General features: G+C 49.5%; 2 long non-coding RNA genes across 3 annotated transcripts in view, besides 1 other annotated feature; one reads left to right on the top strand and one right to left on the bottom strand.

Moving 5' to 3' along the window:
• LOC105370174 (uncharacterized) overlaps positions 1-15304 on the bottom strand; it is a 46924-nt gene that overhangs the window by 11066 nt on the left and 20554 nt on the right. Inside the window, exon 1 of one of the 2 annotated variants that reach the window (XR_941902.2) lies at positions 4779-5411. The exons of the other annotated variant lie outside the window; for it this stretch is intronic. This is a non-coding gene — a long non-coding RNA (uncharacterized LOC105370174). Of the gene's footprint in view, positions 1-4778; positions 5412-15304 lie in introns of those variants that run through there. 2 annotated transcript variants of the gene reach the window in all.
• On the top strand, positions 824-6140 carry LOC105370175 (uncharacterized). The gene is made up of 3 exons (XR_941904.3): positions 824-913; positions 3784-4011; positions 5866-6140. It is a non-coding gene; the product is annotated as an uncharacterized LOC105370175 (long non-coding RNA).
• Positions 12519-13039: an enhancer, noted in NCBI's record as "NANOG-H3K4me1 hESC enhancer chr13:42114123-42114643 (GRCh37/hg19 assembly coordinates)". NCBI's record gives its function as "activates a minimal SCP1, AML or CMV promoter by ChIP-STARR-seq in naive H9 embryonic stem cells {active_cell/tissue: H9 hESC(naive)}" and the evidence as "EXISTENCE:reporter gene assay evidence [ECO:0000049][PMID:30033119]".

Below are 15304 nucleotides of genomic sequence, written 5' to 3'. Positions count from 1 at the left end.
CACCCGAGCTGAGGCAAAGTCAGGCTCAATCCAGCAGGGCTGGTAGGAGCGGAGGAGCAGGCATCGGGGCAGGAGGCCTCACCTCGCCTGCACAGTAGAATCACAGGGGAGTTTCTGTCGGGTCCTACTCCAGGCCAATTGCCAGAATGTGGGGGTGGGAGCCAGGCATCCATGATTTTTAAAGTTTCCTAGTATTCGGCCAAGGTCGAGAGCAATTACCTTCGATCAGCAAGTGCATCTTCAGTGCTTCTTGATGTTTGCTGATTCCAACTGTGCTTAGCAAAGGTCTAGGCACTGTGGGGGGGAAGAAACACCCCTGTCCTTACAAATTAAGGTGAAACAGAGAGGGGCTGCAGGACATTCTCCTCCTACTCAGCACTGAAATCAAATCAGACTCTCCAAGAAAACATTGAATCCTCCTGGTCACGCTTTATGCCTCTCCATCTCTAGCCTGGCTTTGAAGGTGAAGCATATTTGAAAGATTATTTTTAAATGCAATCTGGTAAAGCCTTGCCCAGAAAGTCTCCCAAAAGGGCCCACGGTGTGTAGAATGTGGCAGAGAGGTGACAGAGTGTGGGCTGAGCCAGCGATGTCCTGGGTGTTCCTTTCCCAGCCATGGGCACTGGGACAGGCTGGAGTGGTAGCCAGGACCCAGAGGAGAGTGAGAGAATGGCAGTTCCCCCAGGGCACACTGACCTGCAAACAGGTCCAATTTCAATTCCAGATGCAGGAAGCTGAGAGGCAGGCTCCCGCTCCCCACATTCATGCCCATCAGCAAGCCACGCCACATCCAGCAGCCAGCCAGCCATTCACTGCACAGAGGCCCCCACCAGGCCAGCAGCAGCTGTCACCCTTCTTCAGTCATCTGTTCCTCAGACACTTTTGTGGATAGGGCCCAAGTAACTTGATTAAGGTAAGATGAAATGAGAAATGTTTGCTCCTTGAAAATTGCTAACATCTGTCCTGGCTAGCAGAGCCAGCACTCTTTGTAACTGAGGAAAGAGAATCCCTGAGGAGTCTGGGTGTGGGGACGATGGCACTCCCTGTGCACCCATCTCCCACCTGCCTGCCCCTGGGAGCCTGCAGGGAAGACAAGGCATTGCTGTATGAGGACCTGGACTCGAGTCTTGACTCCACCAGGACTCTGTGTGCCCTTGAGGCAGGTTTGCTGGGAGGAGGAGCTAGAGGATGTGAGCAGGTGCAGCAGACATGAGGTGGTGCTCCATTTGCCCCTGCAAAGACCTCCTTCCTTCCTGTGAGCCCAGAAGGGAGTGAAATGACCCAGCACATGGCCACAACCTGACCTTACGGAGGTGGCCTCAGTGGGTGGGGACGGGTCTGGCTTCAGCGTCTGGTCAGGTGAATGAATGACTTCCAAGAACTGTGCACAGGGAGGTGGTTGGCAGGTGGACCCAGGGCTGGCCCCAGAGAGATATCACTGTGATGCCACTTTATAGCTGATGACATGAAGCCAAGAGGCATCTGAAGATGTTACAATGACCCATTGCTTGTTCAAGTCAGCGAGGACACAGAGAAGGAGCCAGGGATAGCGGTTCTGGCATCTCCCGCGTCTACAAGACGGCATCACCTAACACGGCCGCAGCTTCCCCACTTCTGTGCAGGCTCCAGACTGGGTCCCTATGGTGGATTAATGATGGCCACAATTCCTTGTCATTCTCCCATCAAGAATTTACTTCCCTACCCTGGACCTGAGCTGGCCACAACAGCTCAACCAAAGGAAGGAGGAAGAAGTGACACTGGGCCAGCTTCTGGCTAAGTGTTAAGAAGGCTTCTGGTTCTGCACTTTGAGGAGCCCCGAGCCTCCATGTGAGAAGCCCCCAGCTCCCTTCACCAGAAAGTCTGCATGGAGACACTGCATAGAAAGGCCATATAGGGAGCGAAGGCCTTGAGACCACGTAGACAGGCAGCTGTTCTGGGACCCTGGGAGAGCGACCAGAGGACTCCAGCCCAGGCGCATTCTGCCTGCAACCTCCCAAGAGACCCCAAGTGAGACCAGCCAAGAACTGCCCAGCTGAGCCTAGTCAACCTGCGGAAACATGGCAGGGAATATATGCTTGCTGTTACAAGCCATTAAGTTCGGGGTGGTTTATTACACAGCAGTGGATCACTAAAGACCTCTCCATTGCTGTCTTTAGGTAACTTTCTGCTGCCTTCATCTAAAAGCCAGGCCCCAGAAATCGGAAATGCCCCCCACATCAGAGTCCCTGTAGGGCGTCTCCACAGCATCCCTTGTGGTGCACGTGTCTTCAGGTCACTTCCGACTTTCATATGTCACACAATGTGCAAGTGCAGAGGATGCAGGAGGCACCAGACGGACCTCGAATTGTGAAATCCCAGGAGCCCATCTCCTGGTTCTTGTGGACAGGCTTAAAGCACAAACAAGCCCTCCTGATTCCTTTCATCCTCTTCCCTCTCCTGGGACTGACTCTGATTCAGCCCCTCAGAAGTGCCGTCAGCTCTGGCCGCTCAGTGCCCTTCAGGCCTGGCTTGTGCTCAGGCTTTCAGCCTGGGGCCCATCCCCGGCATCAGGGCAGCTTGGTTCTTGCAACCTCTTGAGTGCAGACTCGGCCTCCTCAAACCCCTGCAAGGCCTCCTGCTTCAGGGCAGCTCTGAGGGGATGGCCCGAGCCGCGTCCTCACCAGCACATCCTGATGGACCCAGCCAGCCTCCAGCCTCCCCTAACCACTGGCACTGGGTCCCCTACCCACCCGTGACAGGAGCCCCACTCTTCCAGATCAACAGGGAGATATTAAAAACTCTCATTCCAAACCAAGTAATTCTCTCCAAAAGAGAACCGGGGCCTCTTCACTCACCTTGGCCCCTATACCATGCCTTGGCCTTGGAGGGACAAGTATGGTTTAACAGATATTTTTATGAACAATTTCAAATGCATGCGAAAGCAGAGACAGATGTAGATCAGACCCCCATGGGCCATCCCCAAGGCTCATGGCCATTCTCGTTTCCCATCGCCTAGCCTCTGTCTCTGCACTCCAGGTTACTCTGAAGTAAATCCCGGCTATCACATCATTTCATTGTAAATATTCAGGCGTGGAGCTCTAGAAGCGAGGACTCCCCTCTTCAACTACAGTGCCATCGTCCACACATTCTGAGAATCTCGTCTGTGCTGGGCCCTGCCCCGAATGCCTCCCAAGTAAGGCCCACTGTGGTATACGCCAGAAATGAGAGTGCAGGGCTGGCCCTGAGGTGTCAGCTCCCCAGTTTTGGATGCTCCATAGAACATGGTAGGTCCAGAAGCCAGAGGAGAGTGAGAGAATCACAAACAGACACGCAGGACAAGATTCCAAAACCCGACTGGACTTGGACGCAGCCACGGTGCCGCTCTGTGCACCGACGCCCCCCCTCTCATCACCTTCCCCACTAGAGCTTCCTGGCCTGGTTTTGGTGTCCTTGGGTGGCCTCAGAGCTGCAGACCCCCTGAAGGTAAAATGGCTTAGTCATTCACTGTCACCCCAAGAATAGTGCACATTCCAGTGAACAGCTGAGCCCAGCAAGGGCCATCTGCCCGTGGCCCATGCACCAATGTCCCTGTACTGCCCTTCTTGGCGCTACCCAGAATGCCTCACTCAGAAGCATCGCGGGACTCCTGGCTTTCCCATACATCTCAAACAGGGACCAGAGCAAGGGAAATAAATACGAGAAATTAAAGTCTGTTTTCATTATGTAGCATTTTGAAAACAAGTTAGCTTGCAAATTCCTAAAACGCAGTAATTATGCCTTTATGCCGTTTTGTGTCTCTCATAGTTTCTATACCAGCATTTCTAACCTTGACACTATGGAATTTCAAGCCAGACAATTCTTTGTTGTGGGAGGCCATTCTGAGCATTGTAGACTTCCTAGTCTGTACCGCCGAATGCTAGCGGCAGCCTTTCTTCTCCAAGCTGCGACAATCAAAAATGTCTGCAGACATTGCCAAATGGCCCCTGGGAGGCAAAGCTACCCTTTGGTTGACAGCTGCTGATCTATACAACAGTAAGTATTGAATTCATTTGTATCTTGATTTATTTCTAATTGTCTTCAGTTCCCTCTGAAAGACATGTTTACTGACTGTGCTAGATAAATTAGAAATGAGGGGGCGACTGAGGATTTTCTCTTTAAGAGCCTCACGTTTGCCTGTCTTAAGGGTTTTGATAAAACTTGCCAGCAGTTTTGTGATCACAATGGCTATTAAGACTTCAAATATATATATTATATTTAAACCAGAAGCAGCTCAACAAAATGAAAACTAAGCAAGTAATTGTGGTATACTGAATAATAAGACTAACTCTTCTTGTTTTACAAAATTTTTTTTTTTTACACGAGATGGTCTCTAGGGTTGGAGACAGAAATAAGTCGACCCACTGTGATGTGTTTCCCATAGACTCTGAGAACTAAGATCATAGTTTTACAGGACTTGACCAAAGATTTTTATCCATTTTTTGGATTTTTTTCTCATTCCATTATTTTTCCTTTTTTATTGCACCCCTAAAAGAGGCAAAACACCCTTCACAATGTCCACATTGCAGCAAAAGCTGTGCGATGATTTACATCTAGCTAAAAAGTTAGAAGTTTCTGGAGCGACCAGTCCTGCATTCCCCTCACTTTTGCTGATGATTTCAGTAGATGGTTTGGCCCTGCCCTGCTATCAAGAAGTTCAGATGTCTTCCTTGAGCTCACAGATGCTGGTGCTGGGGGAAAGGTCCCAGGTTATTGATCACCAGGCCAAGGCAGGCTGGCTGAGTAGCTACAGAGATACTCACCATGGGCCTCAGGGCCGAGGCTCCAGGAACTCAGATCTCAGGCCAGTGCTGTGTGGCCACAGTGCCTGCTGAGGGTGCAGCCTCGCGAATCCTCAGCTACAGTGCAAGGGCTTCCTTATAGACGAATTGTCACTTTAGTAAGCAGAGAGCAGGGCCATGAGGTAATGGACTGAGAACAGGTAGGGCTGGTGAAGAAATAGAGCAAGGAACGGGTATCTGCGGCCCCTTGGAAGAGGCAGCAGAGAGCTCCATGGGAGTGGGAGGCCGGAACAGGGAGGCTGATCTGCCTCCCAAAACTGTGCCTGAGACTGAACCTCTCTCCAGCCCGAAAATAGGCCAGGAGGGCTGGGCTGCCTGTCCCCGCAGCCTCTTTAGGGTGGGGGTGGCAAGAATGTTTCTCTCCAGCGACACATCCAAGCCTCTCCCACGCCACGTTGTCAGCTACTCTGCTTTGAGGCTTAGTTCCAACCCCTCCCAGGAAGGAGGAAGAAAAGACTCATGCCTGAGACCAAGTCCCAGCAGGCATCTCCTTAGGACGGAAGATGGAAATGTTAACCTTTTCTGCTTGCTGAGCAGGCAGTGAAAGGAAGGCTGTTGTGAAGAATAGGACCCTGAGCACACTCTGTGCTTGGGGACATGATGTGCCCTTGACCACAGTGCACAGGGCAGAGGGTTGGAAAGCACTGACCCTTCTGCACAGGGGAGGCATTCAGGGCCCTGGGTTCCCACAGGGCTGGCTGGTCAGTGCCTCACGGGTGCCTAGCTGGGCTGGGAGCGGCCCCCTCTCCCACGGTCGTAAACAAGGCTGGCCTCGGGAGGGGCTGCCCAGGCAGCCGGTACACCCAGCAGGCCGGGCCCAGCTCATTCCACTGCAGCCGTGGGGGCCCTGGGGACTTAAACAGAAGCCCGTGTCTGCTAACAGAGGGAACATTGTTTTCTGGAGTGGGCTGCACTTTTTTCTCCTCTCCCTTCAGAGAGGACAGGGCCATGGAGGCGTGTTTATGTTACTGTTATTTTCAGCTTGGCAAAAATGTAAATGTGAGAGTTCACACTGACAGAAAATCGACAACATTTTCCCTGTGGACAGGTGCGGCTGTCACCCACTGCTCAGGTCCAGGAGGGCAGCTCTCCCAGGGAGGCCAAGGGTCTGGGAAGGTGAGTACACACAGAAGTCGGAAGTAAAGAGCCACCAGCAAAGGTGACCCACCTGGACACCTTCACCACAGCAGCACTGGGCTCTCCCGCGCTGTGCTGTGATGCTGCAACCCAGGCCTCATGTGTCTCCCTGGGCCTGCCTCAATGCGGGCTGCCTGTGGCCTGTCCCCTTGCCTTCTCCAGATAAAAAGTCATTCTGTTCCTGGAGCTTTTGTGGCGTCTCATTTAATCTCCATAACAATAAATTCATTCATTCATTCATTCATTTATTCAACCATCTATCCAGCCATATGTATTGACACTGGGTTCTGGGGTCAGAGAAGCGGACGGCACAGATATGGAGAGAGGAGCTTCTGGGGAAGACAGAAAGTAAACTAACAATTGCAAGAGGGATGGATGAATGGCAGCAACAACAGTACTAACCACTAATTCCCAAGACCTTGTGATGCGCTGGGCATATAGAAGCTCACTGGATCTTCCCCATGCTGATTCAAAGGACTCATTCCATCCCTGCTTTACAGAGAGAGCTGAGTCACTCAACCACAGCCACACGGTTGTTAAGTGGCAGAGCGGAGGGACAGCCCCAGGAATGCCCAAAGCCTGCTCCCCCAGAGGCAGCCCTCGGTTTTCTGAGGCCTGTGGGAGTTTGGGGGCAGATACACACTGAACATCCATCTTGGGGTCGGGGCTGTTTGCAGAACCCCAGCCTGCTGTGCAGGGTCAAAGGCTGGTCCTCTCCAAGTGTAAGCCAGGCCTTAGGGAGAGGCAAACACCACTAACTTGTTCCTGCCCTCCCAATGCTTCGGTCACGCTGGGCCCTCTAACCCCATCCTGCTGGGGAAGAGTCCTAAGGTCCAGGTAGACAGGAAGGACCAGTCTAACCCAGTGCTTCAAGAAGTGACTTAGGCAGCATCACCCATGTGTGGCCAGCTAGTGCCCCAGATCTTTGCCTAAGAGGAGAGGAGGAAAGAGCTTGGCCTGGGAGTTAAACAGCCTTCCCCTGGATCCTCCACCAATAAAGCTGATGAAGCTACTTGCTGCCACTGGCTCAATGGTGCAGGGAGCCGAGGGGGAAGCCAAGGCCTCCAGCCTGGAGTGTGGAGCCTGGCGAACAGAGGCAGGGAACACTGGCAGTCAGGGAGCGTGTGGTCAGAGGAAGTGGGGTCAGTGATTCGGGCTGGAGCTCCCCACGTGGGAGGGAAACTGCATGTCAGAGGGGCAGAGTGTGCATTGAATAGACGTCCCATTTGAACCCAGAAGGAGAAGGTCTTTGTTTGGATCTTCTTGTTAGACAAGTGAGATTAAGAGACTGACCCCACATCTCAAAAAACCAACCATCCAGGGGCACAACCAAAAAAACATAGTCCAACACATCAATCATGGTCAACAGCTGAAAAAAGATGGACGTGTGAAGGGACCAGAAAGGGAGCATGGGGGTTGCTGCTGCGGCCACTGATCCCCAGCCCTCCTGACACTCACCTGGGAAGAGCACGAGGCACTGCTTGGTCCCCATGGCTTGCAGGGCCACCCCCTCCTCCATGTGAAGATGAGATGCAGAGAGGGGCCTTGGCCCAGTGTCCTTTGGAGACTTTGGTGAGAACTTTTTCCTGTGTGTCACTATCTCCACCTTTACCTGACAGACAAAACTAAACCATAAACCACGGCTTTCTCCATTATTAGGCGCCACATGAATCATTCCCACAAACCACATTGGAATCCAAGTGCTGGGAGGATGGGCCCCTGGGCAGGAAAGTACTCAATAATGAGAGAGTCTAGTGGGAAAATATCCTCAGAATCAGGGCTCCTGTTGAACAACTGCTCTAAGAAAGTCATGTGGCGAGGCAGGCAGGGGCACACTGCCCTGTATCCCTGGCATACCAGTACATGTGGCCCAGGGGAGGTTGCAGATGTAGGTATGAGCCTTCAGCCCTCCTCACCTTGCCAGCCTGCTGCTTCTCTCGCATGTTCCTCTCCCATCCCCTTCTGCCGCAGCAGCTGCCCTTGGCCCCACTGGATCTAGGGTGCACACACCAACAATGAGGAGTTCCCTTCAGGACAAGCCCAGGAGAGAAGCCCATGCAAGCTCTGGAAGCAGGCTCAGGGCCCCCCCGAGCACAGTGTTTCAGGACCCCAATGCCCAGAATGTGGCCTAGCAGGGCAAGCATGGTTTCCTATGAGTGCATCTCCTTGGCCCTTCAGCTTCCTCATAATGTGGTTTAGGGCACAGTCAAAGGAGAGACGGAGCACCTTTCTCAAAAAGGGAACCCAGGCAAGGGTCCTATTGCCTGACTTTAATGGTGATGCCATCTGTGTGGACAGGTGTGTGTGTGTGTGTGTGTGTGTGTGTGTGTGTGTGTGTGTGTCTAGTTCTCTCCGTCTCTCATGCATACATGCATAGTCTGAGACCCAGTTAAGAACCAAGAAGCAAACAAGTCTTCATTCAACAGAACTTTGCTTAAGCAAAAACTATACCATGGCAGGATAGGTTATTCCATCCTCACTCAAGTTTTGCTTTTTATATCTCACCTCTGGTGGGAAAGGGGACTTTTTATCATTATTATTATTATGTGACATCAAAGTTATGCCAAGAATGATTCACATTTGTGAGAATCTGTTTGCTGCCACATCTCCACTATGGTGACATAACCACCATCACCTTCCCAGGAAGCGGGAGGATCAAGTTGCCCAGCACAGGACACAAATCATGAATGGGTCACTCATCAACCTGGGGCTGGAGAAAGAGAAAAGGACACCCAAGGGGAACAGGTATGAGCCCGAGGCAAACAGCGAAGATGTTTTCAGCCTCCCTGCTCTGTCCTTTCAAGCAATGGTCAGGTCAGGTACAGCCACAAGAGGAGATGCAAGAGAGGCGCAGGACAATGAAGTCCATTACACTCACAGGCTCCAGAAAGGGGGTCACCACATACCAAGCAGGACCACAGGGGAAGCACCAGTGTTGGTCAGGAGGCAGAACGCAGGGGTGCAGGATGAGCTTGGACCACGGCCTTTGTTGGAGTCTCCTTGGGATAGCCAGGGTGGGGTGAGCAGCTTAAGATGGGCTAGAGTAGATAATTTTGAAGGGTTTTGGGCTGTCAGGGCGGTCTCCAGCTGCCTGGCACCTGGCCCTGGGGTGATTAGGCAGAGGAACATAGCCTCCTGGGGTATGCGGGCCAGATGGATGAGGTATGCCCTGGGTTGGGTAGTTTGCATATCAAAGGCATGCCCTCTTGCTGTCTCTAAGGATTGACTAGCTCCAAAGAGCCAGTGTCTCCCCAGCCAGAAAGGGTTTTTTAAGATGTCAAAATATAATAAACTGTGTGCGATGGTGCGTGCCTGGAATCCCAGGTATTCAGAAGGATAAGGCAAGAGGATTGTTTGAGCCTAGGAGTTCCAGGTTGTAGTGCACTATGTTTGTGCCTGCAAATAACCACTGCACTCCAGTCTGACCAATAAAGCAAGATCCCATCTCTAAATAACAAAATCAGTTCCCTTGACTCCAAGCATCTTTGCGATCAGCTCCAAAAAAGCAGTCTCTTTCTGGAACTGGACAGCTCCTGAGGCTCCTCCCGGTGGCATGGAACTGTGGCAGGGTTAACAACCTCAGGCCGACCCTCCTGAAATTGTGTCCAGAGTTGGTTCCTTCTGGTGGGTTCGTGGTCTCGCTGACTTCAGGAATGAAGCCGCGGACCCTTGCAGTGAGTGTTACAGCTCTTAAAGGTGGCTTGTCCAGAGTTTGTACTTTCTGGTGGGTTCATGATTCTTGCTGACTTCAGGAATGAAGCTGCAGACCCTCATGATGAGTGTTACAGCTCATAAAGGTAGTGCAGACCCAAAGAGTGAGCAGCTGCAAGATTTATTATGACGTGTGAAAGAACAAAGCTTCCACACCATGAAAGAGGACCCCAGTGGGTTGCTGCTGCTGGCTCAGGTGGCCAGCTTTTATTCCCTTATTTGGCCCCTCCCATGTCCTGCTGATTGGTCCATTTTACAGAGTGCTGATTGGTCCATTCTACAGAGTGCTGATTGGTCCATTTTTACAGAATGCTGATTGGTGCATTTACAATCCTCTAGCTAGACACAGAGCACTGATTGGTGCGTTTTTACAGAGTGCTGATTGGTGCATTTACAATCCTTTAGCTAGACACAGAGCGCTGATTGGTGTGTTTTTACAGAGTGCTGATTGGTGCATTTACAATCCTCTAACTAGACGGAAAAGTTCTCCAAGTCCCCACTGGACCCAAGAAGTCCAGCTGGCTTCACCTCTCAAAATCACTGGCAGAACTCAGAACTGAACCAACACTAAACACAGGCACCTGATGCCCTCCTTCCCACTTGCTCTTCAAGTTGAGGTGCTTACGCCAAGTGAGCCTGACGTTATGACTCCAGACAGTGTCAAAACCATGTCAGCAGTTTTGTGGGACAGAAAAAGATGGTTGCTCTCTCTTTGCCTGTGGCCCAGCGAGTCCTCAGAGACTGTAACAAAGACAACAACACCACGAGGCTCAAGGGGCACCGCATCTCCTGCATCTGCCAGGCCGAGAGCAGCTGGAGGAAGCCTTTTCCCAGCCTGTCACCGGCCACCATGGAGAGAGACCACAGTGACGCATCTCGCTGGTGGACCAGGGGAGGGGAGCCAGCCCCACCTGCCTACCAGCAGCAGGAAAGAACACATCCGACAAGGAGGGGCAGCAGGGCTGCTTGCAGAAGACACTCTTGTGTATTCAGTGGGTTGTCCCCCAAGGCCAAGTAGGCACCGTCAACACGGATCTGGAGGCATTGCTCAGGACAACCCCAGGAGAGTTGACCTGCATTGAATGGAAGTCGAATGATGAGAAACCAGCCAGTCCTGCTGGCCATCCCTTCTTCACAACCATACCTGCCACCTGCTCTTCCAGCTTGCATGTGACAAGGCCCTGTGGTGAAGACTGGGAAACACACCTGCTGTGGCACAACTGTTGTATTAGTTTCAAGCAGATTACCTTCAACATCCCCACATACAATGAAATCATCTTCGGTCATAATGAAATGAAATGAATACTAATGGCCAGAGAAATTAGTAGCAGGATTGAACTTTGTATATATAATTTTGCCTGTAAAAACTTTTTAATAAAAGCAAAATAAATATTACAATACAAAAATTAAAAAGTCATGGATTAATCATTACCCTAATGTGTTTTTTTTTAAGTGGGGGCATGCACGAAGAAACACTTCCAAAAGAGTGAACTCCAAAGCTTTAGAGACTGGCTCGCACCCAGACAGACAGAACTGAAGTGAATCCAGTTCACCGAGCTAGCCTCATTCATTTCCACCCTACTCATTCAACACAGGAATACGGCGTAGATCCGGAGTACAAGGAACCAACTGCCCCAGAAGTGAGCGCCAACAATTCTGAATTGTCACCCTTGCAAACTGACTCTTGGAACCAGCCTGCAACTGACTCTGCTTATATCCTGTGTAATTGGAGGTGTTCCAAATTAACTTCCATGTAGAAGGCAATTAAACATACTTATTAAAACATAAGTAATAAAATGTGCACTCTTTAAGCCTGGACATATATCACTAAAAGACAACACTAATAGCAGCAACTGTTTAGGACTTAGACTAATAAATGGTTTGGGGGGAAGGAGTAAGTACTTCATCACGGACATTGCTTAGAATAACCAGCATATAGTGATAATAAAAAGCTGACCAACGTGTAGTCAGTTTTATTACTGTTTTTAATGATGCTACACACAAGGCACTCCTTTATTGCCTGCATGCAGGGTAGGCTGTTCCCACCACCTACCCTTGGTATGCCACTGTGTCCTTGCCCCCAAATTTCATCAAATCAGATGAAGTGCATTGACACTTACTGTTAGGAACTATATCATTATTGTTGCCTGACTTGCAGAGAAGTCAGTCATTTTCAGAAAGAGTCTACTGCAAGAAGCTCTTTCCTCTGGAATGGCCCTACAAAAGGAATAGGGGAAATATGTTTAAAAGGAAATAGCAACAGGTTTCATGATCACTTAAGAACTGGAGGTTTCTGCAAGACAAAATACAGCAACAACCAAATTTTAACTCAGGCAAGTTAGGAAAATTATTTTCCATATATATGACAGGCCAAGTGTACTTGTATTGAATGCACTCATGCCAAGTGACCAACAACAGCAAAATCCATTGATGTCCCAATAGGTGTATGACAAAGGACATGGACAGAAAATTCACAGATGAGAACATGTGTGCAAGATGGCCGAATAGGAACAGCTCGAGTCTACGGCTCCCAGCGTGAGCGATGCAGAAGACGGGTGATTTCTGCATTTCCAACTGAGGTACCAGGCCATCTTACTGGGGTGTGCCAGACAGTGGGTGCAGCGCACCGTGCGTGAGCCAAAGCAGGGTGAGGCATCGCCTCACCCTGGAAGTGAAAGGGGTCAGGGAATTCCCTCTCCTAGTCAAAGAAAGGGGTGACAGATGGCACCTAGAAAATCGGGTCACTCCCACCCTAATACTGCGCTTTCCCAATGGGCTTAAAAAACGGCACACGAGGAGATTATATCCCGCACATGGCTCAGAGGGTCCTACGCCCACGGAGCCTCGCTCATTGCTAGCACGGCAGTCTGAGATCAAACTGCAAGGTGGCAGCAAGGCTGGGGGAGGGGCGCCCGCCGTTGCCCAGACTTGATTAGGTAAACAAAGCAGCTGGGAAGCTCGAACAGGGTGGAGTGCACCACAGCTCAAGGAGGCCTGCCTGCCTCTGTAGGCTCCACCTCTGGGGGCAGGGCACAGACAAACAAAAAGACAGCAGTAACCTCTGCAGACTTAAATGTCCCTGTCTGACAGCTTTGAAGAGAGCAGTGGTTCTCCCAGCATGCAGCTTCAGATCTGAGAACGGGCAGACTGCCTCCTCAAGTGGGTCCCTGACCCCCGAGTAGCCTAACTGGGAGGCACCCCCTAGTAGGAGCAGACTGACACCTCACATGGCCGGGTACTCCTCTGAGACAAAACTTCCAGAGGAACAATCAGGCAGCAGCATTTGCAGTTCACCAATATCCGTTGTTCTGCAGCCACTGCTCCGGATACCCAGGCAAACAGGGTCTGGAGTGGACCTCTAGCAAACTCCAACAGACCTGCAGCTGAGGGTCCTGTCTGTTAGAAGGAAAACTAACAAACAGGAAGGACATCCACGCCAAAAACCCATCTGTACGTCACCATCATCAAAGACCAAAGGTAGATAAAACCACAAAGATGGGGAAAAAACAGAGCAGAAAAACTGGAAACTCTAAAAATCAGAGCACCTCTCCTCCTCCAAAGGAATGCAGCTCCTCACCAGCAACGGATCAGAGCTGGACAGAGAATAGCTTTGACGAGTTGAGAGAAGAAGGCTTCAGATGATCAAACTACTCCGAGCTACAGGAGGAGATTCGAACCAATGGCAAAGAAGTTAAAAACTTTGAAAAAAAATTAGACAAATGGATAACTAGAATAACCAATGCAGAGAAGTCCTTAAAGGACCTGATGGAACTGAAAACCAAGGCACGAGAACTATGTGATGAATGCAGAAGCCTCAGTAGCCGATGCGATCAACTGGAAGAAAGGGTATCAGTGATGGAAGATGAAATGCATGAAATGAAGCAAGAAGAGAAGTTTAGAGAAAAAAGAATAAAAAGAAACGAACAAAGCCTCCAAGAAATATGGGACTATGTGAAAAGACCAAATCTACGTCTGATTGGTGTACCTGAAAGTGACGGGGAGAATGGAACCAAATTAGAAAATACTCTGCAGGATATCATCCAGGAGAACTTCCCCAATCTAGCAAGGCAGGCCAACATTCAAATTCAGGAAATACAGAGAATGCCACAAAGGTACTCCTCGAGAAGAGCAACTCCAAGACACATAATTGTCAGATTCACCAAAGTTGAAATGAAGGAAAAAATGTTAAGGGCAGCCAGAGAGAAAGGTCGGGTTACCCACAAAGGGAAGCCCATCAGACTAACAGTGGATCTTTCAGCAGAAACTCTACAAGCCAGAGGAGAGTGGGGGCCAATATTCAACATTCTTAAAGAAAAGAATTTTCAACCCAGAATTTCATATCCAGCCAGGCTAAGCTTAGTAAGTGAAGGAGAAATAAAATACTTTACAGACAAGCAAATGCTGAGAGATTTTGTCGCCACCAGGCCTGCCCTAAAAGAGCTCCTGAAGGAAGCACTAAACATGGAAAGGAACAATGGGTACCAGCCACTGCAAAAACATGCCAAATTGTAAAGACCTTTAAGGCTAGGAAGAAACTGCATCAACTAACGAGCAAAATAGCCAGCTGACATCATAATGACAGGATCAAATTCACACATAACGATATTAACTTTGAATGTAAATGGGCTAAATGCTCCAATTAAAAGACACAGACTGGCAAATTGGATAAAGAGTCAAGACCTATCAGTGTGCTGTATTCAGGAAACCCATCTCATGTGCAGAGACACACATAGGCTCAAAATAAAGGGATGGAGGAAGATCTACCAAGCAAATGGAAAACAGAAAAAGGCAGGGGTTGCAATCCTAGTCTCTGATAAAACAGACTTTAAACCAACAATGATCAAAAGAGACAAAGAAGGCCATTACATAATGGTAAAGGGATCAATTCAACAAGAGCTAACTATCCTAAATATATATGCACCCAATACAGGAGCACCCAGATTCATAAAACAAGTCCTTAGAGACCTACAAAGAGACTTAGACTCCCACACAATAATAATGGGAGACTTTAACACCCCACTCTCAACATTAGACAGATCAACGAGACAGAAAGTTAACAAGGATACCCAGGAATTGAACTCAGCTCTGCACCAAGCAGACCTAATAGACATCTACAGAACTCTCCACCCCAAATCAACAGAATATACATTCTTTTCAGCACCACGCCTCACCTATTCCCAAATTGACCACATAGTTGGAAGTAAAGCACTCCTCAGCAAATGTAAAAGAACAGAAATTATAACAAACTGTCTCTCAGACCACAGTGCAATCAAACTAGAACTCAGGATTAACAAACTCACTCAAAACCACCCAACTACATGGAAACTGAACAACCTGCTTCTGAATGATTACTGGGTACATAAAGAAATGAAGGCAGAAATAAAGATGTTCTTTGAAACCAATGAGAACAAAGACACAACATACCAGAATCTCTGGGACACATTCAAAGCAGTGTGTAGAGGGAAATTTATAGCACTAAATGCTCACAAGAGAAAGCAGGAAAGATCTAAAATTGACACCCTAACATCACAATTAAAAGAACTAGAAAACCAAGAGCAAACACATTCAAAAGCTAGCAGAAGGTAAGAAATAACTAAGATCAGAGCAGAACTGAAGGAAATAGAGACACAAAAAACCTT

Source organism: Homo sapiens, chromosome 13 (assembly GCF_000001405.40).
Source record: "Homo sapiens chromosome 13, GRCh38.p14 Primary Assembly".
NCBI classification, from domain to species: Eukaryota; Metazoa; Chordata; class Mammalia; order Primates; family Hominidae; genus Homo; species Homo sapiens.
The sequence above is the reverse complement of the archived record's forward strand: the minus strand, read 5'-3'. Positions and strand labels throughout refer to the sequence as shown.